Source organism: Homo sapiens, chromosome 10, assembly GCF_000001405.40.
Source record: "Homo sapiens chromosome 10, GRCh38.p14 Primary Assembly".
Lineage (NCBI taxonomy): Eukaryota > Metazoa > Chordata > Mammalia > Primates > Hominidae > Homo > Homo sapiens.
The window spans coordinates 17437109-17461927 of NC_000010.11; the positions used below are offsets into that span (position 1 = coordinate 17437109).

Below are 24819 nucleotides of genomic sequence, written 5' to 3' on the forward strand. Positions count from 1 at the left end.
AAATAAAACATTTCACTTACAGATTCATTTCTCTCTCTCTCTCTCTCATACGTATTTCACATATATTTGAGACAGGGTCTTGCTCTGTTGCCTCAGGCTGGAGTGCAGTGGCGCAATCACAGCTCAATGCAGCCTTGAACTCCTGGACTCAAGCAATTCTTCTGCCTCAACCTGCCAAGTAGTTGGGACTACACATGTGCCATCACACTCAGGTAATTTTATTTTATTTTTTAATTTTTAGTTTATAGAGACATGGTCTCACTATGTTGCTCAGGCTAGTCATGAACTCCTGGCCTCAAGAAATCCTCTTGGCTTGGCCTCCCAAAGTGCTGGGATTACAGGTGTAAGCCACCATGCCTGGACAATCTCTATATTTTATTTTGATTTCAGCATACTTGGTGTCAGAAGTGGGGTCTGAAGCAGACTCACCTTGGAGAGATCAACAACAGGCCCTGGAACTATGGCTTGTGGTACCCACATTCAGGCCCCTTGGACCCCCTGTTTCCTTCCTTCCTTCCTTCCTTCCTTCCTTCCTTCCTTCCTTCCTTCCTTCCTTCTGTCTCTCTTTCTCTTTCTCTTTCTCCCTTCCCTTCCTTCCCTTCCTTCCCTTCCCTCCCTTCCCTCCCTTTCTCTCTTTCTCTCTTCCTTTCTTTCTTCTGTCACCCAGGCTGGAGTGCAGTGGCCCAATCTTGGCTCACTGCAATCTCTGCCCCCTGGGTTCAGGCGATTCTTCTGCCTCAGCCTCCTGAGTAGCTGGGACTACAGGTGGGCACCACCATGCCCAGCTAATTTTTGTATTTTTAGTAGAGATGGGGTTTCACCATATTGGCCAGGCCGATCTCGAACTCCTGACTTCGTGATTCATCCACCTCAGCCTCCTAAAGTGCTGGGAATACAGGTGTGAGCCACCATGCCTGGCCATGCCCCCCTGTTTCTGTAGGTTGCCTCTTTTACTGCCTGTTGAGTCTCTCTTGGACTAAACTCTCTTTTTATTTTATTTTACTGAGCTTGATTTTATTTGGGAATTGGTTATGAGAGGTCTTTCCCTGTCCTGGTTATGAGATCTCCTGTTTAGAAAGGGTTTTTTCCCCTCCTGGTTACAGGGACTTTTCCCCACTGGAGAAGAGTTATCATCTTTCTTGATAAGTATGTACTTTAGACTCCAATTCATTTGCACACTTAAGAGTTTAATTTGGCTTTTGTGTATTCGGCATTAAACCGAATCACCTAGATAAATTTATTTACAAATGGGCTCTCAAAGTTCAAAGGCATGCCAATATAGCTCCTAGCTCTGGGACCCCAGCTGGTAACATATACAAACATTATGGAGATTATTCAAAGAGTCTGTTTTTCTGAAAACTAAACTAAAAAAAAAAAATGACACCTATAAAATCACACAGTCCAAATAGGACACATATCTCAATTGGTATCTGAAGGCTCCAAAACACATTCAGGACTCAAAGACTGCCTGTGAGCTAGCTGAGACTTTCCAGTCCAAAGCCTTTCCCTTCCCTTCCTACACCTCCTCCTCTTTATCTTTCTCTAAGCTAAGCTCTCTTTTTCCAAAACTCCTCAGCTATTCTGTCATACTGACTATTTAAGTAAAGACACTTGGAAACCAGAAGATAACAAAGAAAATCATTTTGACCTTTGCGGTATTTATTAAAAGCAAAAGATTAAATTCCCATGTAAAAGACACTTCCTCTGTACTAAAAGGAAAGGCAAACTCTCATCTTTGAGGAAAAGGGATTAAGACCAAGAGAATATTGCACAGACCTTGTTAGAATAACTCTTACCTTTTGAGCCTCTTCACATAATTCAGTCACATTTTCAGAGTTAACAATTCTTTTTCAATCCAGTGTGTTGGTCACTGACTCAGACTGCTTTACCCAAAATGTGCTTCACAGCCTCCATAAGATGACATATTATGGCAAATAAAAAACACAAACCACCTTCCAAACTACAGCTTTTTACAGTTTTACAGTTTCTACTTAATTTCAAGTTGAAAATGCTATCTTCTTCATTTAAAATGATAATTTCATTTCTTCCTCTTCCAGCTTTTCAGATTCATATCTCAAGTGTTTAGGTATTCAGCTTTTTACACATCTCACTACATGTGATTTACAGGTCATGCATTATTACTTTCTGTGCTTCTTCCCTCTCTTTTTTTTTTTTTTTTTTTGGAGTTGGGGATGGAGCCTCTCTCTGTCACCCAGACTGGAGTGCAGTGGTGCAATCTTGGCTCACTGCAACCTCCGCCTTCCATGTTCAAGTGATTCTTGTGCCTCAGCCTCCCAAGTAGCTGGAATTAGAGGCACCCACCATCACATCCTGCTAATTTTTGTATTTGTAGTAGAGGCAGGGTTTTGCCATGCTGGCCAGGCTGGTCTAAAACTCCTGACCTCAGGTGATCCACCCGCCTCGGCCTCAGCAAAGTGCTGGGATTACAGGCGTGAGCCACCATGTCCAGCATATGTTTAACTTTTTAAGAAACTGCCAAACTCTTTTCCAAAGTAGCTGCACTTGGACCTCCATGAATGTCTGATTTGGTGCCAGCAATCTCTAAGCTTCATCTCCCCACCGTGTCTGTCGCCTCCTGCACAATCCTAACAAGGCTCACTTTACCCCCACTTCCCACGTGTCAATTTAGAGACTCCCAGGCCAACGGCATGTGAAGAAGAGGAATCACTACAAGGCATGCTGAGGCTATCTCCCAGGAGGAAATGGCTCATTAGAAATCATTAGAGCAATAAAATATCTATGCAGCTGTTCCTACAAAGTTCATGAACACAAATGGAGGTATTTTCAATTGTACAACAAAGATTCAACACTCCCTAGAACTATGTGGATCTTCCAACGAGGAAAGGAAGATCTTAAATAAACTCCCAGTGCCAACAATCTTAAATCAGATGCCAGCTCTGGCTTCACTCCATTACAGCAATTTGAATGGGGTATAACTATGGGATTCAGGATGACAGTGCCTACGGCTTTCATAATCATAAGCAATAGGAAATTACTCCACAACTCCTGGAGGCAAAGGGATACTGATTTTTAGTCAGTTTTGTAATAGTTTCTCAACTCAATAGTTTCTCAAATGTATTTTTTTTTTTTTTTTTGAGACAGAGTCTCACTCTGTCACTCAGGCTGGAGTGCAGTGGCATGATCTCAGCTCACTGCAACTCCGCCTCCCGGGCTCAAGCAATTCTCCTGCCTCAGCCTCCCAAGTAGCTGGGATTACAGGCGCCCGCCACCATACCCTGCTAATTTTTGTATTTTTAGTAGAGACGAGGTTTCACTATGTTGGCCAGGATGGTCTCGAACTCCTGACCTCAAGTGATTCACCTGCCCCGGCCTCCCAAAGTGCTGGGATTACAGGTGTGAGCCACCGCACCCAGCCTCAAATGTAATTTGTAATAGTTTCTCAAATGTTAAACTTTGCCTCAAGGTCTTAGGGCTATCCATACATTCATAAGGAGTAGACAAAACTCCTGTGCACTACACCGGCTATGCACTCTCCGTGTTCTAAAACTTCTTATCCTCCTCTAACCCTACCCCAGGACTTCCTGCCTATGTGAGTAATAAACCTTTCTGTGATCCCGCTAAAGAACCACTGTCAGGAGCTTCGGCAGTAGAAGCTAACCTTGGGAGGAAGCCTTCTCCATGTCACGGTGGCATTGCTACAAAAGTCATTATAAAAGACATGGAGTTGTATCTTATTGGGGTTTTGGTTTGCATTTCCCTAATGATTAATGATGTAGAACATTTTGTCACATGCTTATTAGCCATCTGTCTATCTTCTTTGCTGAAGATAGGTCTTCACATCTGCCCATTTTTAAACTGGGGTTGTCTTCTTGTTAATTGAGTTGCAAGAGTTCATTACATATTCTGGATACAAGTCTTTTATTGGATGTATGATATACAAATATCTTCTCTCAGTGGATGGCTTATGTTTTTATATTCTTAATGGTGTCTGTTGAAGCACAAACTTTTTTTTAATTTAGGAAAAATATAATTTGTCAAATTTTTCTTTTATTGATTATGCTTTTGGTGCCACATCTAAGAATGCTACCTGATCCAAGCTTCTAAAATTTTTCTTGTATGTTTTCTTTTGGACATTTTCTGTCTGTAGCTTTTGTCTGTGATCCATGTGGAAACCATTCTTCTGTGTATAGTGTAAGGTAAGCATCTAAATTATCTTTATTTATTTATTTATTTATTTATTTGAGACGGAGTCTCGCTCGTTTCCCAGGCTGGAGTGCAATGGCGCGAGCTCAGCTGACTGCAACCTCCACCTCCCAGGTACAAGCGATTCTCCTGTCTCAGCCTCCCAAGTAGCTCGGATGACAGGCATGCACCACCATGCCTGGCTAATTGTTTTGTATTTAGTAGAGACAGGGTTTCACCATGTTAGGCTGCTCGCGAACTCCTGACCTCCAGTGATCCACCTGCCACAGCCTCCCAAAGTGCTGGGATTACAGGCGTGCACCACTGCACCCGGCCCCTGGATCTAAACTTATCTTTTTGCTTATAGAGATCCCATTGTGCCAGCACCATTTGTTGAAAACTATCCTCGCTCCACCATCTGGAAGTCCCACCCTCTAAATTTGTTAATTAATTTAATTAAGTTTCATTTGAAAGAATCTGTCAAACTCAATAAAATTACATTTATTAAAAAGACTTATCTGAAAGTTCCACATTTGAAATTGGCCCTAAACACAAGCTCTAATTTTTATTGTTTTTATAGTAAAGACGATATAAAACAATTTTTTTTTTTTTTTGAGATGGAGTCTTGCTCTGTCACCCAGGCTGGAGTGCAGTGGTGTGATCTGGGCTCACTGCAACCTCCACCTCCCAGGTTCAAGCGATTCTCTTGCCTCAGCCTCCCAGGTAGCTGGGATTACAGGTGCCTGCCGCCACGCCTGGCTAATTTTTGTATTTTTAGTAGAGATGGGGTTTCCTCATGTTGGCCAGGCTGGTTTCAAACTCCTGACCTCGTGATCCACCTGCCTCGGCCTCCCGAAGTGCTGGGATTACAGGCGTGGGCCACTGCACTCGGCCAAAACAATCTTTTAAAATGTTATATGTGTCTCATTCTGCCAAAACACACTCTTAAGGAAAATGGAAGAAACCTTATACAGTGGGCAATGTTTGGTAAATGCAATATTTTCCAGGTTGTTACAGCTTTTTCCAAGAAACCAGCCCAAGAAACCAATATTACTACTCACATATGTGAGTAGTGATATACGACAAAATCAAAAAATTTATGTGAACACTTTTTAGCTTAGAATGTGCCATTTTTCTTCAAAAGGATTGTCTAGCAGCAGCCCAGAATAAACCTGAGTAACACTAATTTCTGCCTTGGAGATGCATTTTTTAAAATCATTATTTTTCTAAAGTTACATTTCTATACAAAGTTTCCATTGATCTGTAGCTTTTCAAAGAGTGTTCAAAATCCTACAGAAGCGAGTGCTAGCATTGACTGAAGAGATATGTGATCATTAATCTCCAAATTATTTATTTGAAAAAATTCTCCTAAGTACAAATATCATAAGACTTTATACCAGCTTATTATTCAAATTCTTTGTTAATATACAGTCTGCCTTTAAGAAATAATTATAGATATGGGTTTTCAACTCTGCAGGTTTAAATCATCCTCTTCCAATTAGAAAATGTTATTTTATATGCTTACACATAAGCACACAACTATAAACTCAGGCTATTTTGTCACGTAAATCTCACTGTCTATCCATCCTGTAATACAACATGGTAAAGTGCACCTCCAAAAACCTAGACAAGGCAACAAAACTCAAATCCCAAAAAGCTGCTGTTCTAGATTATAAATGGGGTCAGTGGTGAAAAAGATAGACAAGGCTTCGACTTCCCAGAACTACAATCTATTGCATGTATAATGTTCCCTAGATATAGGAAGCGTAAATACTTTGGTATACCCAAAGTGAACATGGTGTGTTGGATGGACTCCCAGCTCAAAAACACAAAAATATGCCCACAACTTAATGTGCAAACAGTAAAGCAACATTGGCAAATATAAATATGTAGGATATAGGTGTCCTCCTGAAATAGCAAAGTACCAACAATATTATAAAATACGTATTATAGACTTAGAAGATACCTGGCAAACACCAGGTTTTGGAATCACACATTTATTTTATAGAGTTAGGAAATAAGGGGATATAATCTCAAAAAAAGAATATATGGAATCCAAATGCAGCTTCTAAAGACAGCATTCCAACAGAGGTTCCAGCAACCAGTGAGAGACTTTAATCATTTGCAAAATTAATGGTCTCTTTACAACCTCAATTTCTGGGAATGCTGCATTTAAAAATTATACGGTAGAGAATTTCGGTGTATTTTACAATAACAACAATAACTAGCAAGATAACAAAAATTGTTTTACAATAACTGCAAAAGCACAGGTTGTGCCCTATAAAATTATCTTTAGAAATAATTATGCCCATGGATATGAATGTTCCCCAGAATTAATGACTGATTATCTACAGCATGTACAAATCATTCTTAGTACTTGGTGAAAAATCATAATAAATTTGTTTAAATCTGAGGACATAGAAAAGATGGGCTTTGCTGCCCTGGACAAGCTAAACTCCTAAGTGTATGTAGATAAATGTACTACAGCAATGATCATCTTCCTAATGGCAAAGGAAGCTATAAAACAAGGCATCGGGGAAGAAAAGAGCACCTTTCTCATGTTTACCAAACCATCCGTGGCTTTTTAAAGGGCTTCTCTTTTTGCCCTGCAAATGAGAGATTACAGAACCCTCGCACCCTTAGATCACAGAACAGCTGAAGACTACTGACTCTAAAAGGAATCGCTGCACCTTGCAAAAGAGGGGATATATTTCTTTCCTTTTCTTCCTTTCATATCCCTTCTGCTGTAACCAAGCCTCTGGTCTCGTTATTTCCAGCGTTAGCACCTAATAGGCCAAAATGTCTGTGTTTCTCTATAACCACCCCTCCAAAGATATCCTTCCTGCCTCCCCTGGGCAGTCAGGTTTTTTTTCTTCTTTCACATTTATGCTAATGCCTGTTGCCTTAAAGGAAATGTCTAATAAGGAGACACTGAATTAATACACAAGACCAGACAACGCTACCCAACTAAGGAAGTCTTGATTTTTGTTGCAGGGAAACCACCTTTGCTTTGACATATGTGTGTAAACGGTATTGTCTGTCGAACGTTGCCTCGTGAGTCATAAAAAGAAACATCCCAGCCTCTTTGTTAAGAGAAGTGCTGTCAAGTAAGTAGTAGAGTTATATGAGTGAGACAGAAAATAAAATTCCACCTCCAACAACCTCTGAAATGGGAGGTGGGTCATTCAGACACCATTTCTTCATGAACTGCTGCCCTGTTCCTCTACCCAGTCCACAGAGGAAAGGCAATAGCAGGGCATTTCCTTGTGTCCTTCAAGCTCTCCCTGGCTCTCCTGTGCACGTGAAAAGACACCCACAGAAGCTCAGGGGTGACTGCAGCCCATACTCTGTAGCCCTCTACCTGGGCCAGCTGCCCCGGACAATTGCACCTGATAGCTTTTCCAGAGCAGAGCAGCCAGAGAGGTGACAAAGAATGAAAGCACTGAAAAATGTCAACCTGGGAAGCAAATGTGAAACCCATTTCCAAACAGGGAAGGCAAGGAGAAAAGCAAGTCACATCAGAACAGAGATGGGGGAGAAACCCCTCTGAGTCTTAAAAGAGAAGGGTTGCAATTAAGATGGAATTAGGAAGTAGAAAAAGAAGCAGAATGCAAGATTTAAGCCCATTTCAAAGCTTTTCAGAAACCAGACTCAAGGCAGCTTTAAAGCATTCTGAATTTTTAAAATCAGAACACATATTCGTATCATTACTTCAAAAAGCAAAGACACAACAGTGAAAAACCTTTTATTGCTCTTGGAAGTAAAATCTAATAGCCTTCATCTATTTGGAGCATGAGGTGGAAAGGAAAGTGGTAAAAGGGTAAAAATCAAGTGTTCTAGAGTTAGGGTTAGTTTTCTTTTTTCAAGCTCTAGTTCACACTCATCTTGAATTTTCTGAAGCCTGTAGTTATGATCCCATTGTGAACATATACAACAAAAAATGTCAAATAAAACATTATTACAACTTTCAATATAAGACAGCAGAGAGTAAACAGTGCCTGATTTTCTCTCTTCCAGACTATTTACATTCTTACGAACAGACACAAGTCTACACAAAATGACAAGCGCACATTTCGGTGGCAACAGATCAGCTGCTTCAGAAATTTATCTGGCTTGGGGAAGAGATATTATTAACAAAAGCAAATATGGAACCACTCTGAGGAATTACCAGCAGCTGATGTAAATTTTCACCTCAGAAACAGACCAGGTCCAGGGAGAAAAAAACTAGAGAGGTTTTGATTCTCCTCCCACCGTCTGCCTTTCTTTTCCAAAGAATAGAGAGCCTGCCCCAACTGGAAAATCAGGTAGCTTCTCCCACACAGGAAGGGATCTGCTGCCTGAGGCAGAAAGGGCTGCTTGGGTGCCTCTGTCCCCAGTGCCCCTTCATTTCTGTCTTCCTACATCCTCTTGAGATTACATGTTGATTACATTATATTCTATTGTATCGTACTACATAATACAGCAACACTGAAAGAATGAAAGGAAACGGGAAAGGGAGTGAATTGGCCTTTGCACCCTGAGGATAGGAAGAGGGTGGTGGATACTGGGACAGCCTGGTGGACCCAGCCCTCCCAGGGTTATTAGATGACATTTGTCACGTACCATTCCTGGCAGCAGCGGCAGGTCAGGGTGACCAGGATCACCTAGGAATGCATGTACTTCTGACAGTCATGAAACCAAGGCATGAGAGCAAGAGATAGTTTTGGGGTCTGGTATCCAAAAATTCAAATTAGTAAATTTCATGTTATGTGTATTTTATCACAATTAAAAAAAAAAACTCAAACTTTAAACATTCAGAGATTTGTTTAAGGGGTATATGGCTCTGGTATCCATAATGCTGTAAAAAGGGAAATCTTTTAGTCCCTGAGGTGGACAGCAGCAAGTCCTAAGTCCTCCAATCTGATAAGCATAGTGGGACAGAGGACTCCTCACTTGAGGACATCTAGGTCGAAAACAAACAAAAAAAATCACAAAACTTATGAAAATATTCTATAATGTAGGAGGAGGCTATTGCTCTTAAAATGCAGAGAAAAATCATACTTTTGAAAAACAGTTAACTACAAGAAACAGGAAATCTTTAGAAAACATTCCCTTGGTGGACTCAATGAAATATAAGAAAACACAAAATAACAAATGGAAAGTGAGATGTAAAAGGCTACTTAAATGCTTTCTGAGATGTAAACTGATACAGTAAGGTTCAGGCTGAGAGAAGAAAATAATTGTAAAGAATAAAAATGTAACCAATTTACTGTTTTTGATAGAGCACAACAGAGAAGTGACACTTCGGAAAAGTAATTCAGTAACATGGAAGACAAATTTGAGAAGCCATCCCAGAAAGCAGAGGAAAAAGACAAAGCCAAAATCTGAAAGAGAAATAAAGTTATTAACTTGGGGAGGGGATGGTGAAGAAAAGGCAGAATAAGAACTATGCGAGACAGAAAACAAAGATTCACTTCACAAAATAGAGGAAAAATGTCTACAAAGCTTTAAGAATAAAAAGAAAAAAAGGGCTGGGAGCGGTGGCTCATGCCTGTAATCCTAACACTTTGGGAGGCTGCAGCAGGTGAATCACCTGAGGTCAGGAGTTCAAGACTGGCCTGGTGTCTACCAAAAAAAAAAAAAATTAGCTGAGCGTGGTGGCAGATGCTGCCTGTATTCCCAGCTACTTGGGAGGCTGAGGCAGGAGAATTGCTAGAACCCTGGGGGCAGAGGTTGCAGTGAGCCAAGATAGCGCCATTACCGACTCTGTCTCAAAAAAAAAAAAAAAAAGAAAAAGAGAAAAAATAATAAAGCTGTGATCAAATAACAGAATCCATGTATGAAAAATAAGAATTGTGGCCGGGAGCAGTAGCCCATGCCTGTAATCCCAGCACTTTCGGAGGCCGAGGGGGCTGGATCACGAGGTCAGGAGTTGGAGACCAGCTTGGCCAACATAGTGAAACCCCATCTTTACTAAAAATTAGTAAACCCTATCTTTATAAAAATTAGCTAGGTGCAGTGGTGTGGGCCTGTAATCCCAGCTACTGAGGAGGCGGAGGCAGGAGAATCACTGGAACCCAGGAGGCGGAGGTTGCAGTGAGCTAAGATTGCGCCACTGCTCTCCAGCCTGGGCAACGAGAGCAAAATTCCTTCTCAAAAGAAAAAAAACAAAAAGAATTATGTCCTTAAAATACAAGGAAAGCTTTCATGAACTACCAAAAAAAAAAGTGCCCTCAAATATCTAAAGTTTCATGACTATAATCCATATTCCAATGCTAAAAATATTAGACTTATGCAAATAAATACCAAGCTTATGACCAAGAAAGAAATAAAGAACAAAGAACTGAAGAAATGAGGAGGGGATCATTTAAAATGATAAATTCCAAGCAATGAAAAGATAATCTAAATAGTACTAGGTTGTTAAGCAATAACTCAATTCAAATCAAAAAATAATTTTCATAGGAAAAAGTGTATAATAAAATAATAATTACTAACTAAAAAGTCCACCCCTTTGCCACATGACCCCAAAAACTATGTAGATTAATTTAACTAATATTAAAATTTAAAAAAAATTTTTTTTTGAGATAGAGTCTCACTCTGTTGTCCAGGATAGAGTGCAGTGGAGCGATCTTGGTGAGATCATGTTCAAGTGATTCTCGTGCCTCAACCTCCTGAGTAGCTGGCATTACAGACACCCGCCACCACATCTGGCTAATTTTTGTATTTTTAGTAGAGACAAGAGTTTGACCATGTTGGCTGGGCTGGTCTCAAACTCCTGACCTCAAGTGATCTGCCTGCCTTGGCCTCCCAAAGTGCTGGGATTATAGGTGTGAGCCACTGTGCCTGGCCTAGTTTGAGGATTTCTAATTAGCCTTACCAATTAGCAAGTAGAGGCCAAAGTCCTTCTGCAGAGGAAAAGGACCACAGGAAAGGGAGAGAAAGGCCATTAAGATAAATAGCAGGCGAACCTCTATAGGAAAACAGAGACATGAAGGTGAGGTCCCCCGTCTCTGGTAAACTCATGGTTCAATCATCACAGATGGGCCAATGAAACAGACACCAACTAACCAGGACATTCAAAGAATAACAGCAGTTGCTGTCCAGGACGTCACGGCCAGCCACACAATCCCAAATCATCACCACAGATGTTTAAAGCCAAAGTGGACAGCTGCCACCAAAAGGTGCCAAATCATAGCCAAGACATGGATGTTCCCATGGAACTCCAAATTAGCTAGTTACACAAGCTTGTGCGGGCCGTTTCATTAATCTCCCAATAATTCAACCCCTCATTTCTAATGATTGGATATTTGGGTACTCACTTATGGCATTATGGCAGGGTTTTTATTGTTGTTGTTGTTCTTGTTGTTGTTGTTGTTGTTTTTGAGACAGAGTCTCGCTCTGTCACCCAGGCTGGAGTGCAGTGGCACAATCTCGGCTCACTGCAAGCTCCGCCTCCTGGGTTCACTCCATTCTCCCACCTCAGCCTCCCTAGTAGCTGGGACTACAGGTGCCCGCCACCACGCCAGGCTAATTTTTTTTTTTTTTTTTTTTTTGTTAGAGACAGGGTTTCACCATTCACAGGATGGTCTCAATCTCCTCACCTTTTGATCCACCCATCTCGGCCTCCAAAAGTGCTGGGATTACAGGCGTGAGCCATTGCGCCCGGCCGGCAGGGTTTTATTGAGCTTCTTTCATAATCAAAATGAAATTAATATTATTTAAGAAAATAATATTTTAGAATAAAATATTCAAAGTCTTCACCTAAATGACTCTGAAGATAAACAAAAAGTTCTAAAATGTAATTATAAACAGTTTAGAATGTATTTTTAAAAATCTAAACATATATAGAAACTGAAGAAATGAGTCCAAAGCTGCATTCAATGGAAAATTCATAGTATTAAATATTTTTGTTACAAAAAAGAGGAAAAATAACATAAATAAATCAAGTATTCATTTCAAGATATTAAGTTGAAAAAATAGAATATTTTAAAAGATAAAAGTACCACAAAGGAAATAGAACATGAAAATATATATAAATTGAGAAATAAATCCAAGAGCTGGTTATTTAAAGAACAAGAAAGCCAATGAAAAACTTTGACAAAGCTTATTAGCAAGAGAAAGGATCCATTGTAATGGGGTGATATTTTGAAAACTACTAGTTTATTTTCTCTTTTGTCTTTCTGAGTATATGACCTTACCCTAGACCACTTGAAACATCTTTGCAGGGAGGAAGAAGAGATTAAGACTTTTTCCTGAAAGAATGCAAAAAGAGAAGATAAGGTAATAATCCACTTTAGACAAGTAAAATAGAATTTTCTGCAGCCTCAAGAGAATATATTCCAAATTCTTTTCATTCTCCCACTTTAGCACATTAACCATCTTACCTGGAAGACACAGCTCCTTGAATTTCCCCAATCCTTTGCCTCTAGTCCCCACAATTTATCATTAAGGCTTGAGCTTGAGTTAGACTTGGAGGTTTGCATCAGGGCAAATAGAATATGAAACAGGGAAGCCTGCAAATTTCTGGAACTGAGTCAGTAGGAGCAGAAGAGCAAAAAAGAAAGAGGAAAGTTTTGGCTCAGAGAGGGAGAAAGATGGGGGCAATAAAAAGCTAGTGACAAGAGTAATAACAAGGACAAAAAAGCTTTGCTTCCTCCTCCAATCAGGATTTTGAAATAGATCACTTCTTGGGCAGCACTCCATCCTGAGATAACTAAGAGTAGGGTCACATCTACTTGCTGGAGCAAGTAGAGGGAGGCCATGATATTTAGTTTTCTGAACCAATTTTGGTTTTTATATGTTTAGATGAGGCCCAGAAATAGGTGAGAGGTGGCTGTGGAGCTAGCTAGCAACAGCTGAGTGAGTAGCATCATAGCAAATGTCGCAGAGAGACAACCCAAGATAGGATCAGAAGAGAATCTTTGCTAGATCCCTGAAAGGTAACATCAGTAGGATCTGAGGTGAGGACAAGACTAGCCAGGAGCAACAGCAGGTGCAACACCTGAGGGAAAAGAAAGAGCCACAAGCTGCAGATCTTATCGTTGGCTCTCAACAGAGTGCCTGGACACCGGATGGAAAAGGATCAACATCACCCTGTAGATTAGAAGGAAAAGATACCATAATCATGAGTTTCAACTCTTGACCGCTGCATCACCTAAGGCCCCCTCCCTAATATACCTGAATGTCATCTTTTTCTTTTTTTCTTTTGAGACAGAGCCTTGGCCTGCCACCCAGGCTGGAGTGCAGTGTCATGATCTTGGCTCACTGCAACCTCCCCTTCGTTGGTTCAAGCGATTCTCACCTCTCAGCCTCCTGAGTAGCTGGGACTACAGGTGCACACACTCACACCCAGCTAATTTTTGTATCCTCTAGTAGAGACAAGGTTTCATCATGTTGGTCAGGCTAGTCTCGAACTCCTGACTTCAAGTGATCCACTCACCTCTGCCTCCCAAAGTGCTGGGATTACAGGCTTGAGCCTCCGTGCTCGGCCTACTTGGATAGCATCTTAAAGTGAGATGAGATGGTAGGAGCAATCCGAGAGCCTGGGCATTTTTCCTCAGAAAGAACAAATATTGCCAGAAAGAGTCTCTTCAATTGTCACCTCTAAGCTTTTGCCTGGATTGAATATTTGAACACACACACACACACAGACACACACACACACCATCTTTCCCAGCACCTATGGCAGGCAACACAGTGGGAGATTAAACGTGTGGGATTCTGGATTCTCCTGGCCTGGGTTTCACTCCAGGCTCCACAATGTGTTAACTCTGTGACTGTGGGCAATTTACTTCATCTTGTTGCTTCGATTTGCCCCTCTGTAAAAATTAGAATAACAATAGTTTGTCTTAGTATTTCTTAAGGATTCAATGAATTAAATGTAAAGTGCTTATTCCCAACAGCAAAGTCATGGAATCAACCTAAGTGTCCCTCAGTAGAGGACTGGATAAAGAAAATGTGGCATATATGTACCACATACTAGAACTCAGCCATAAAAAAAGAAGGATTTAATGTCTTTTACAGCAACAGGAAGGGAACTGGAGGCCATTCTCTTACATGAAATAACTCAGAAAGTCAAATACCACATGTTCTCATAAATAGGAGCTAAATAATGTGTACATATAGACACAGATTGTGGAATAATAAACACTGGAGACACAGAAAGGTGGGAGAGTGAGAGTGAGGGGAGAGCTGAGAAATTATCCATTGGGTACAATGAGTACACCCTATTTGGGTGACGGTTGCACTAAAATGCCGACTTCACCACTAGGCAATATATCCATGTAACAAAAATGCACTTTACCCCCTAAACCTATTTTGAAAAATTTTTAAATTAAAAATGTCAAGTGCTTAGATCAGTGTCTGGCCCATAAGAAGAGTTCATTAACTGTTGGCTCTCCTTATTCCTACCAGCATTATTACCATGAGGCTCATGTGGGAAGATCAGACCAGCTCCAGAAAAATGAAGAAATTACAATTTCTCTATACAACCAAGTAGTATGGTGGATTAAAACTTGCACCCCTGCTCCATAAATAACCAAAATCATAAATGATAAAGGGGACATAAAATAAATCAAAACATAAAGAGGCTTTTACAAACACAGAATGGTATAAATTTTAGAAAGCTTAATAAAATGGGCCATATTCAGAATTATGAGTTACCTATATTAGCCCAAGAAGTATGCCAAGTAGAAAAGAAGTATGTCAAAAGAAAGTGAAAAATTCATCAAAGATTACCTCTAAAAACGACCTGAGATCAAACCATTTAATGAGTACATTCTTTCCAACTTTCCCCAAGGGTCAACCCTCGAATGTGTAATAGCCACAGGACTCGGGAAAAGATGGAATGCTTCTCAGCTCATCAAGAAAGCTAGGCTACCTATAGTACACCAACCTGAATAGAATAAAACTATAGGACACTATTTTTCTCAAAAGCTTTTGTTACTCCAGGAGGTCCTAGTGCCTCTAATATGCTGTGAAATTCCAATGAGGGGGTGGCAGGCAGTGGTGTTCCTCAATTCAGGGTTTATCCAGCCACTTCCAGACCCTTCTTAGAGCCGTGCTAGAGCTTCCTGGAGTTACACCATCAGAAGATTAAGGTGGATCCAAGAGCCAAGAATATAGAGAAGCATACGCAGAAGAAAAGGGATTTGCAAGAGATAAAAAGAGGAAAAGAGACCGTATAGCAGATTGCAATCATAATAGCAATGCTAAGGCAGGAAGCAGTACATTCTGCTTGTGAAAATGTAAATTGATTCAGCCCTTCGAGGAAGCAACTGACAATGTGACTTAGAATCTAAAGAGTACATACTCTTTGACTTACTAATCTCAACTCCTGTCTGTCCATCTTGGGTAATTAATTTGAAATGAAGATAAAGATTTACATACAAGGATGCATTTCATAGAATTACTGATGGCAAACAAAATAAAACAGAAACAAGAAGCAACCTAAATGTCTGAAAATGGAAACTATTAAATAGATTATGGCATGTTCAGATAATAAGTTATGCAACAATCCAAAGCAATGTTTTTGTGGGGGGAGGGGAATGTAATGACAGGTATAGGTCTAGGATTTTTAGAAAAAAGGCAGAACATAAACTGCAATGTATAATCTAAGTTATATTTTTGAAATATATGTATATAGAAAAGACTACTGGAAGAAATATAGACCAAAACCACCTTGAATATGGTCTCTGAGAGGTAAGGACTCTGAATGAATAACATTTTCTTTTATACAGTTCTATTTTCTAACTTTCTGCACAAAGCTGTATTACTTTTACAATCTGAAAAAAAAACAATTACTGCCTATGAATAAAAACACATGTGAATGATAAGAAAAAAAATTTAAGCCTCCAGTCACTAAGGACAAAATCATTCCTAGCACGCAAAACAAACCTGAATCTTAACACCGGTGCCCTTTAAAGCATAGAAAAGAAAAAGCAAACCAACCAAATCCCTCCATAAAGACAGGCTGAGCTGCTTCTCTCCAAAGGTGGCGGGGTCGGGGGCGGGGGTGCTTTCAACACACCATTGTCGAGAGGAAAACTCAGCACCCGTTTTTCAAATGCAGCTGCTGGAGGATCCCCCTTGATTCAAAGACCATTCACATCCAGGCTTAGAGGGTTGAGGGAGTGTGAAGGGTGCCCCCCCCCAACCCCGCGCCCTCTTCAAACACACGCACACTCTTACACTCACTCGCGCCGTCCCAGCCTGCCTACTCCCAACGAGTCCAAGCCGGTGCAGCCGCGCCCCATGCCCGGCTCGCAGCTCCCGAGCCCCAGTCCGCCCGCGCTGGGCGCCGCTGTACCTGTTAGTGGCGCGCGGTACCGCGGTCGCCGGGCTCCGGAGCGTCCTCAGCGCTGCGGGGGTGCCGTGGGTGGCCTCCCTGCTTTCCTCCACCAGAATCCTGCACAGCCGGGGAGAAAACTTAAGTTGCTACACCCCGCCGGGAGCTGTTGGCTGAAAGGCTGGGAGTCGCGCTCCTTGCCTGGCAGGGAGATCTCGCACTCCCCGGCTCCCAGGCCAGGTCCCCAGCCCCAGAGTTGGAAGAGCCTTAGGGCGGGAAGGAAGAGACAGCAAGGACCAGAATGGGGAGCATGAGATCCTGATGCGGAACCCGACGGCAGGTCCCGCTCCACAGCTGCCTCGCCCACAGCGATGCGCGCTAGAGCCCCCGCAGCCCTGACCGGTCCCTCTGCTCCCCAGCCGCCGTCCACCGGTCGGAGGGTCGCCTCCCTGCGACCCCCTCCCCCACTCCACTCTCAGGCCGTCGCCGCCCGTGGGCTGCTCCCCGCCGCGGCCAAAAGTCTCCGCGCCCGAGGGGAAGCGATGGGCGGCTTGGGGGTCCGGGGGCGCCAGGCGGGGCGCGCGGCGCGGGGCGCGGCCGGCGGGTGGGTGGGTTACCTGGCGCGGCCGGGCGCGTCTGCCGGGCACCAGAGCAGGCGCAGCAGCAGCAGCAGCAGCAGGCTGGCGAGCAGGGCGAGCAGTGCGCCCCCCGGCCGCATCCTGAGCCACAGGCGCCGCCGCCACCGCTGCTGCCGGGGCGAAGCACAGCCCGGGCGGCCCCGACTCGCGGCTCCCGCCGCCGCCGCCACCGCCGCCGTGGCCGCAGCCCCGCGCACCCACAGCGTTCACAGGCGGCAGCGAGGGGCGCCCGCAGCCCACCCGGCAGAGTCTCCGCGGCGGGCGGAGAAGAAGCCGCGTTCGGGCTCGCCCCGGGCTCCCGGCCCCGGCCCGCGGAGCGCCGCGATCGGCTGGCAGATGACGATTCGCCGAGCTCGCCGCCTGTCCTCCCGGAGGCGCTCGGAGCTGCTGCGGGCTCCGGTCGCCGCTGCCACTGCTGCTGCCGCCGCCGCCGCGCGGGGTCACCTGAAGGTTGGGGCGCGGAAGCTCAACTCCGTGCTGATTGGGCTCCAAGTTTTCTGCGCCCTCGCCTCGTCCCGAGTGCCCGCGAATCCCCCGGACGCCCACGCAGACCACCCAGCCACACCACAACTCTGCCTGCGGAGAGAGGAGAGGAGAAAAAGGGGCCGCTTCAAAAACTTTCAAAACTGTGCAGTCGCTTGGCTGGATCCTCCCACGCATGAAGAAAGCTGGGGACTGGGGAATTGCTGGGTGGATCATGACACTGAACAGAAGCAGTAACCTGTGCTTACTTCAACCCAGATTCAGAGGGACAGCGAACTGGTATGAGGGGCTAGGAGACCTTTAGGCATGAGCACATTACTACCTGGAGACCCGTTTAGCCCCTGCCTGTATTTGCAAATAGTTTTATTGGAAAACCTCCATGCCCATGGCTTTGTATTATCAGTGACTGCATATGGCTGTATGATCTAGGGCTGCAAGGGCAGAATTGAGTAGTGATGACAGAGGTGGCATAGCCCACAGGGCCTAAAATATTTACCATTTGAAACTTTCCAGGAAAAGTTTGCATACTGCTCTTAAATAAGCAAGAGGCCATTAGCTTGAGGCTGTCTCTGTACGTTGAGTTCCCACCTAACAATGGAAACCTACATTAGGCTGTAATGAACAGGGGGCTACTGGCCAATCATGGGCAACCAACTCATTATACCAGGCCCCACAAGGCAGCCTGCATAGCTATAGCCAATCAGTTTCTCCACTGTGCTTCTGAGTTTGGCCTATCAGGCTTTGCTGCTCACACCATGGGGTGGACCTCACTGGACCTCCTCTGGTTGTGAGTGCTGCCCAATTCATGAACCCTTTGCTCGAATAAACTGTGCTAAATTTAATTTGTCTGATGTTTTTCTTTTAACACTGCTATGGGCTGAATGTTTGTGTCTCTACAAAATTCATATGTTGAAACCCAAATCCCCAATCTAATGTGGTGGTATCTGGAGGTGGGGCCTTTCATACCTGATTAGTTCATGGGGTGGAGGCTTCCTGGTGGAATTAGTTCCCTCATAAGAGCAGGCAGCGGGGAATTTGCCTCCTCTCTCTCTGCTCTGTGCAGTGTAAAGACACAGCACGAGGGCAGCTTTCTGCCAAGCAGGAAGAGGACCCTCACCAGAACCTGACCATGCTGGCACACTGATCTTGGGTTTCTTACCCTCCAGAACTGTGAAAAATAAATTTCTGTTCTTTCGGTCACCCAGCCTATGGTATCCTTCTTATGGCAGCCAGAACTAAACCACGGTCTAGATCATATTGGTTAGTATCTCATTTACGAGTATCTCATCTGTTGCAGGAGAGTGATCCAATGACACTATGAAACAGACTGGCTCTCTATTTTTTTAAAAGTGGGTCTCAACTCTCTATGCCCTAAACTATCCTGACTGCCCAAGCCCCCACTTAGCCACTTCCCTAGGTTTTAATTCCATTGTGGTTATATGCAGGCTTATAAAATTATTCACTCTTACTTTTGTATAGTTTCGAGATTTTTCCAAATGCAACCCTTGGATTCCACCATCTTGGGAGTACCTTGATAAGATCTTTTGAAATGACTTCAATTTTGAAAAGGCTTTCATGAGTTAACTTTCCCAAGCAACAAAAATATGATATTTCAACTGACATCTCCTAGAAGCATATGGTCTTCACCTGAAAGAGGCCCAAGTGAGAGCCATTTGGGAGCAACCAGGCCAGACAGCCAAATAAAGCTGTCACCAAAGATTCCATCACAAGAAAACATATATCAAGGCAAGAGATACCAGTGTCCCTAGTCTCTTTCTGCTAATTCCGGATTTACTCTAAAAACATCTTGTTGAATACAAAACAGAAGTTTGCACATAATAATTGATCAATAAATGTTTAGTCAATGAATAAAAGCACATAAGAACTAGTGTTATTTTTAAAGAGAAAATGGAGCAAAAAAACTAAAAATAAATGTGACTAGGAATGTGATTTCCTTCTATAGCTCATCACTGCTGTTAATATATGTACTAATCAGGAATAAAAACAGGCTTCTACTTTTATATAAAACTAATATTTGTAGGGATTCAGTTGCTTCATCTGAGTATGACATAAAGTAATGCTATACTCAGGTAGTGATAGAATAATACAGAAATCTAGTTCTACATATTTCAAAGTTTAAGCCGTTTGTTAAATAAGTAGAATATGGCACAATCATCTAGAAAATGAAGAGTTGCCTGGATTTGAAAGATATTCCAATTTTTATCTCAGTGCAGAAAATTGTGCAGAAAACTAATGCTGAACATGGTTTGCAGAAAAAGAAAAAGGCATTATTGTATCAGCCAGGAAGCTGCAATTTCACCTAATTTACTAAAGTTTAATATTTCAGCACAGCTGGGCTCAAGGCAACAGCAGAAGAGTCAGCCTTGCACTGGGTTCCCTAAACACCCTTGCTGCAAATGAAGTTACTTTTTATCAAGCCAATGGCTATCAGCAGGGGACTCACAAAAGCCCATTTTAATTGGAAAAACAAGTGTAAATTTGCAATGGGAATTCTGAGCCCAGTGTTAAAATTTGACAGTAGGGAACTTTACCACAAGCTTTCTAATTTAAGACCTGGGTGGGTAAGATATGAATTATCTTGCTCATCCTTGAGAGAGAAAGAAACCTGACAAGAAAATGATACCTTAACATTATTAGCCATAGAACCACTACTGGAAAAGTGTGCATTTGGTAGCTTAACATTTCCAGGCTTGACTTGCAACCCTAAAGATCTATGCCATGTAGTAATTTGAAATGCTGCTGAGGCCAGGAATTGAAACGTAAACTCAGGTTGACATCCGGATGCTGCTCCCAAGCTTGTGTAAGTGGCGAGCCTACCTCACTCACCCAGTCCACTCCACATGGGCCTCTCATTTTGTCTTTGTTATTCTTTATTCATCATCATGAATGTCCTTACCTTCATAAAATAACTTTTAAAAAATGATTGGGAAGTTTCGATATATAAAAAGTCTCCAGGCCTATGGAAATCTTGAAAGTTGAAGTTTCTGATTTGGAGTGTAAGGTTTCTTATTTGGCTAACAAGTGACTTTCCACAAAAAAGATGATTCAGGGGAAAGCTAGAAACGTGTAAGATTTCCATAAGTGTGGATTTGGGGATTCAGAAAGATGAATCACAAATATCAAGAGTCTACCTGACATTTGATATATACATAATATATATGTATATACACTATATACATAATACATAATGTACAGAATATATAGCATTATATACATATTGTGTATACACATTATGTATACACATACGTATTATGTATACATATTATGTATATATTATATACATAGTATATACTACATATATACATAATATATACTACATATATAATATATAATGTATATATACACACTAGATACATTATACTATATATGTATGTATATATACATTATACATTATGTATATATATACTATGCATATACATTCCATATAATTATGCATATGCAAATTGTTATATAATATTATGTATATATATTATGTATATTATATTATATTGTGTATATACATGATTATATATTATGTATATAATATAAATGTATAGAAACTATATATACATATATTTGTTTACATAGTATGTATATATACTGATAGCTATAATGTATCTCCATAATTTTTTTCCTTATATTGAAGATTCTTACTGATATATAACAGTGAATGAGTGTACATAGATATGCTATATCTCTACATAGATTATGTGTATATATACACACACTATATAAATAAATATGTGTATATAGAATGCATATACATGTATACTATGTATATACACACTAAATACATAGCAGATACAAATATATCTCACTGGTATATATGAACATCTTCAATATAAGGAAAAAAAGGAATGCTGTGAGAAACGCACAAAAAATTGATGCACCAAAGACTCTTTTCTTCATTCGGGAGACATTTTTACCTCTCTGTTTAGAAAGGATGATTTCTGATGTTTCAGACTGCTTGACTGGTTTTTGTAACGTTAAAGATTTGTGAGGACTACAGGACAATAGGTCATTTATAACATTAAGCTATACCTTGGGGAGGACGTTTATAAGACTATGATAACCAAGACTACATATTTTCTTTTTTTTTTTTTCTTTTTTTTTTTTTTTTGAGACGGAGTCTCGCTCTGTCGCCCAGGCTGGAGTGCAGTGGCGGGATCTCGGCTCACTGCAAGCTCCGCCTCCCGGGTTCACGCCATTCTCCTGCCTCAGCCTCCCAAGTAGCTGGGACTACAGGCGCCCGCCACTACGCCCGGCTAATTTTTTGTATTTTTAGTAGAGACGGGGTTTCACCGTTTTAGCCGGGATGGTCTCGATCTCCTGACCTCGTGATCTGCCCACCTCAGCCTCCCAAAGTGCTGGGATTACAGGCGTAAGCCACCGCGCCCTGCCAGACTACATATTTTCAATAAGTCATAGGACATAAGTAAAAGTAGAAATGACTTGAAAAAATCAATGACCTCAGTATCTCTCCAAATATGTCTTATTACAGATTTTTGACCGCTGTTAGTGGAATATTGAAGATTGGGGGCCAGGCGCAGTGGCTCACACCTGTAATCCCAGCACTTTGGGAGGCTGAGGTGGGCAGATCGCTTGAGCCTAGGAGTTCGAGATCAACCTGGGCAATATAGCAAAACCCCTCCTCTATAAAAAATACCAAAAGAAAAAAAAACTAGCAGGGCATGGTGGTGCACACCTATGGTCCCTGCGACTCTAGAGGCAAAGGTGGGAGGATCACTTGAGCCCAGAAGGTGGAGGTTGCAGTGAGCTGAGATGGCACCACTGTACTCCATCCTGGGTGATGGAGTGAGGCTCTGTCTCAAAAAATAATAATAATAATAATAAAGTAATTCTATGCATAAAGTAGTTTTAATTTAAAGAGTATAACTAAAACTACGGGACTAAATATGAGAATTATTATTCACTTTATAAAATAGATTTTTAACATATAAACATTCACATTTCCTAAATCCCTCTCTTTGGAATGCACTTAAAACACTATAAAGGACTAAAAGGGGAAATGCACACTATTTATTAATATCTCAAGACTATAAAATGGCAACAATCCCATTTCACAAACTCCCTGCTTAAAGCGAACTAATTGGACAAGAATGCCAATTTCAAGACATGTCTCCTCTATTTATGATCTTATATTTGTGGGAAACAAGTAGAAAAGTTGATTGGGTGTGGTGGCTCATGCCTGTAATCCCAGCACTTTGGGAGGCCGAGGCGGGAAGATTGCTTGAGTCCAGGAGTTCAAGACAAGCCTGAGCAACACAGCAAGACGCCGTCTCTGCAAAAAATCTTTTTTTTTTTTATTAGTCAGGCACAGTGGCTTGTGCCTGCAGTCCCAGCTACTTGGCAAGGGGAAGTGGGAAGATCACCTGAGCCGGGGAAGCGGTGGTTGCAGTGAGCCAAGACCATGCCACTGCACTCCAGCCTGGGAGACAGAGAAAGACTCTGTCTCTTGAAAAAAAAAAAAAAAAAAGTAGAAAAGTTTTTAAGGCCCTACTAATTCTCAATTTGAAAGGGCAAAGGCTACGAGTAAACCACAGTAAAAACAAGTAGTAATCAGTGTGAATAGCCAGGGCTGCCAGATTAAAAAAGAGCTGGAAGCTAACATTTCTGTTTTCAGCAAATGTAGCGTTCTTGCCAGAGGAATGCTAGTTACCTAGAAATGCTGCTAAACTGAGGGAGAGATGCTGCAAAAGAATGTTGTGGCTACTGACTAAAGTCAATTTACCAAGGAAAAATGAGTACCTGTTCTACCTATCTGATAACAAAAAGTTTTTGATTTACCGGTTTTCACACCAAACTGGCCTCTCCCAGGGTCAGAATATCCTGCCTAATTTTAGACCCTGTCAGACCAGGCAAAACTTCAGTTGTTTCAACAGATTGAGGGGTGGAGAGTGAGCATGCAGAGATAATATGTCAAACTCTGTCAAATTTCTTCCTCCAACTTCTCTTCCCCACCTCTTCATTCCATATAACCTAAACTATAAACAGTAAACTGAAAAAAAAATCGACAGCCAGCCCATAATGCAAAACTAAATTTCAACAAGTGCACAAAGAAAAAAGAAGGACTGCCAGAGAATTTCCATTCACAATATTCCTAGCAAGTAGCAGAAAGGAACAGACATGACATTTCAAAGATGACCAGACAGGAAAGGAAATTATGCAAATGTTCTGGAAAATATAAGATAAAAGGAAAGAAATGTAACCAGTAAAAAGGGAAGTGAAGAAAATGTGTTGGAAGAGACTTACTCCAGGAAACAGCAGACAAATTTAAGCAAGATCACTTCATACTCCCCAGGAAACTAAATATAATGTAAACACTATGGTAGGAAAGTCCAAAGAAAGAAAAACTGAAAAAGAGGTAGTAAGGCAGTAGAATATGTTGAGAAGTGAACTGACAACATTAAAGCAAAACAAAACAGAAAAATGTTGCAGAACTTAGAATATCTGGCAGAACTTATATGGCAAAAATCTGAATCAATGTCGGATTGAACTGGTGACAATTGCAAAAAAGAAAAAGCACACAGGAAAAGGACATGGAAACTACACTGATCAAAAATATATATATGTATCAGAAACAGATTTTTTTTTTTGGAGATGGAGTTTCACTCTTTTGCCCAAGCTGGAGTGCAGTGGCATGATCTCAGCTCACTGCAACCTCTGCCTCCCAGGTTCAAGCGATTCTCTTGCCTCAGCAGCCTGAGTAGCTGGAAGTATAGGTGTGGGCCATCATGCTCGGCTAATTTTTTTGTGTTTTTAGTAGAGGCGGGGTTTCGCCATGTTGGCCAGGCTGGTCTTGAACTTCTGACCTTAGGTGATCCACCCGCCTCAGCCTCCCAAAGTGTTGGGATTACAGGCATGAGTCACCGTGCCTGGCCCAAAGACAGATATTAAATATACATCTATTTTTTCTTTTTAAGATGGAGTCTCACTCTCTCGCCCAGGCTGCAGTGCAGTGGTGCAATCTTGGCTCACTGCAATCTCTGCCTCCCGGTTCAAGCGATTCTCCTGCCTCAGCCTCCTGAGTAGCTGGGATTACAGACAAGTGCCACCACGCCAGGCTAATTTTTGTATTTTTAGTAGAGACGGGGTTTCACCATGTTGGCCGGGCTGATCTCGAATGCCTGACCTCGTGATCCGCCTGCCTCAGCCTCCCAAAGTGCTGGGATTACAGGCATCAGCCACCACGCCTGGCCACATCTATTTGTTTATTCAGCAATTCAAATGAAAGAACAAAGTTTATAT

General features: G+C 42.0%; 1 protein-coding gene and 1 long non-coding RNA gene across 8 annotated transcripts in view; one reads left to right on the plus strand and one right to left on the minus strand.

Annotated features, from left to right (window-relative positions):
- Positions 1 to 17487, minus strand: part of ST8SIA6 (ST8 alpha-N-acetyl-neuraminide alpha-2,8-sialyltransferase 6) — a 139175-nt gene extending 121688 nt beyond the window's left edge. For 4 of the 5 annotated variants that reach the window (NR_144322.2, XM_017016174.2, NM_001004470.3 and 1 more), the window contains exons 1-2: positions 17047 to 17487; positions 16451 to 16549 (exon numbers count right to left, since the gene is read on the minus strand). Coding sequence is in view for 2 of the 5 variants with exons in the window: in XM_017016174.2 (XP_016871663.1) it covers positions 16451 to 16549; positions 17047 to 17147 (200 nt within the window). In the remaining 3 variants the exon portion in view is untranslated. Of the gene's footprint in view, positions 1 to 16092; positions 16235 to 16450; positions 16550 to 17046 lie in introns of those variants that run through there. The other variant, XM_024447977.2, reaches the window with a different exon arrangement.
- LOC105376436 (uncharacterized) lies at positions 182 to 9671 on the plus strand. 3 transcript variants are annotated; one of them, XR_007062074.1, is made up of 4 exons: positions 182 to 212; positions 4130 to 4178; positions 7159 to 7271; positions 9426 to 9671. It is a non-coding gene; the product is annotated as an uncharacterized LOC105376436 (long non-coding RNA). The 3 variants fall into 3 exon arrangements; XR_930710.3 differs by lacking the exon at positions 9426 to 9671 and adding an exon at positions 8182 to 8448; XR_930709.3 differs by lacking the exon at positions 9426 to 9671 and having other exon boundaries at positions 7159 to 8135.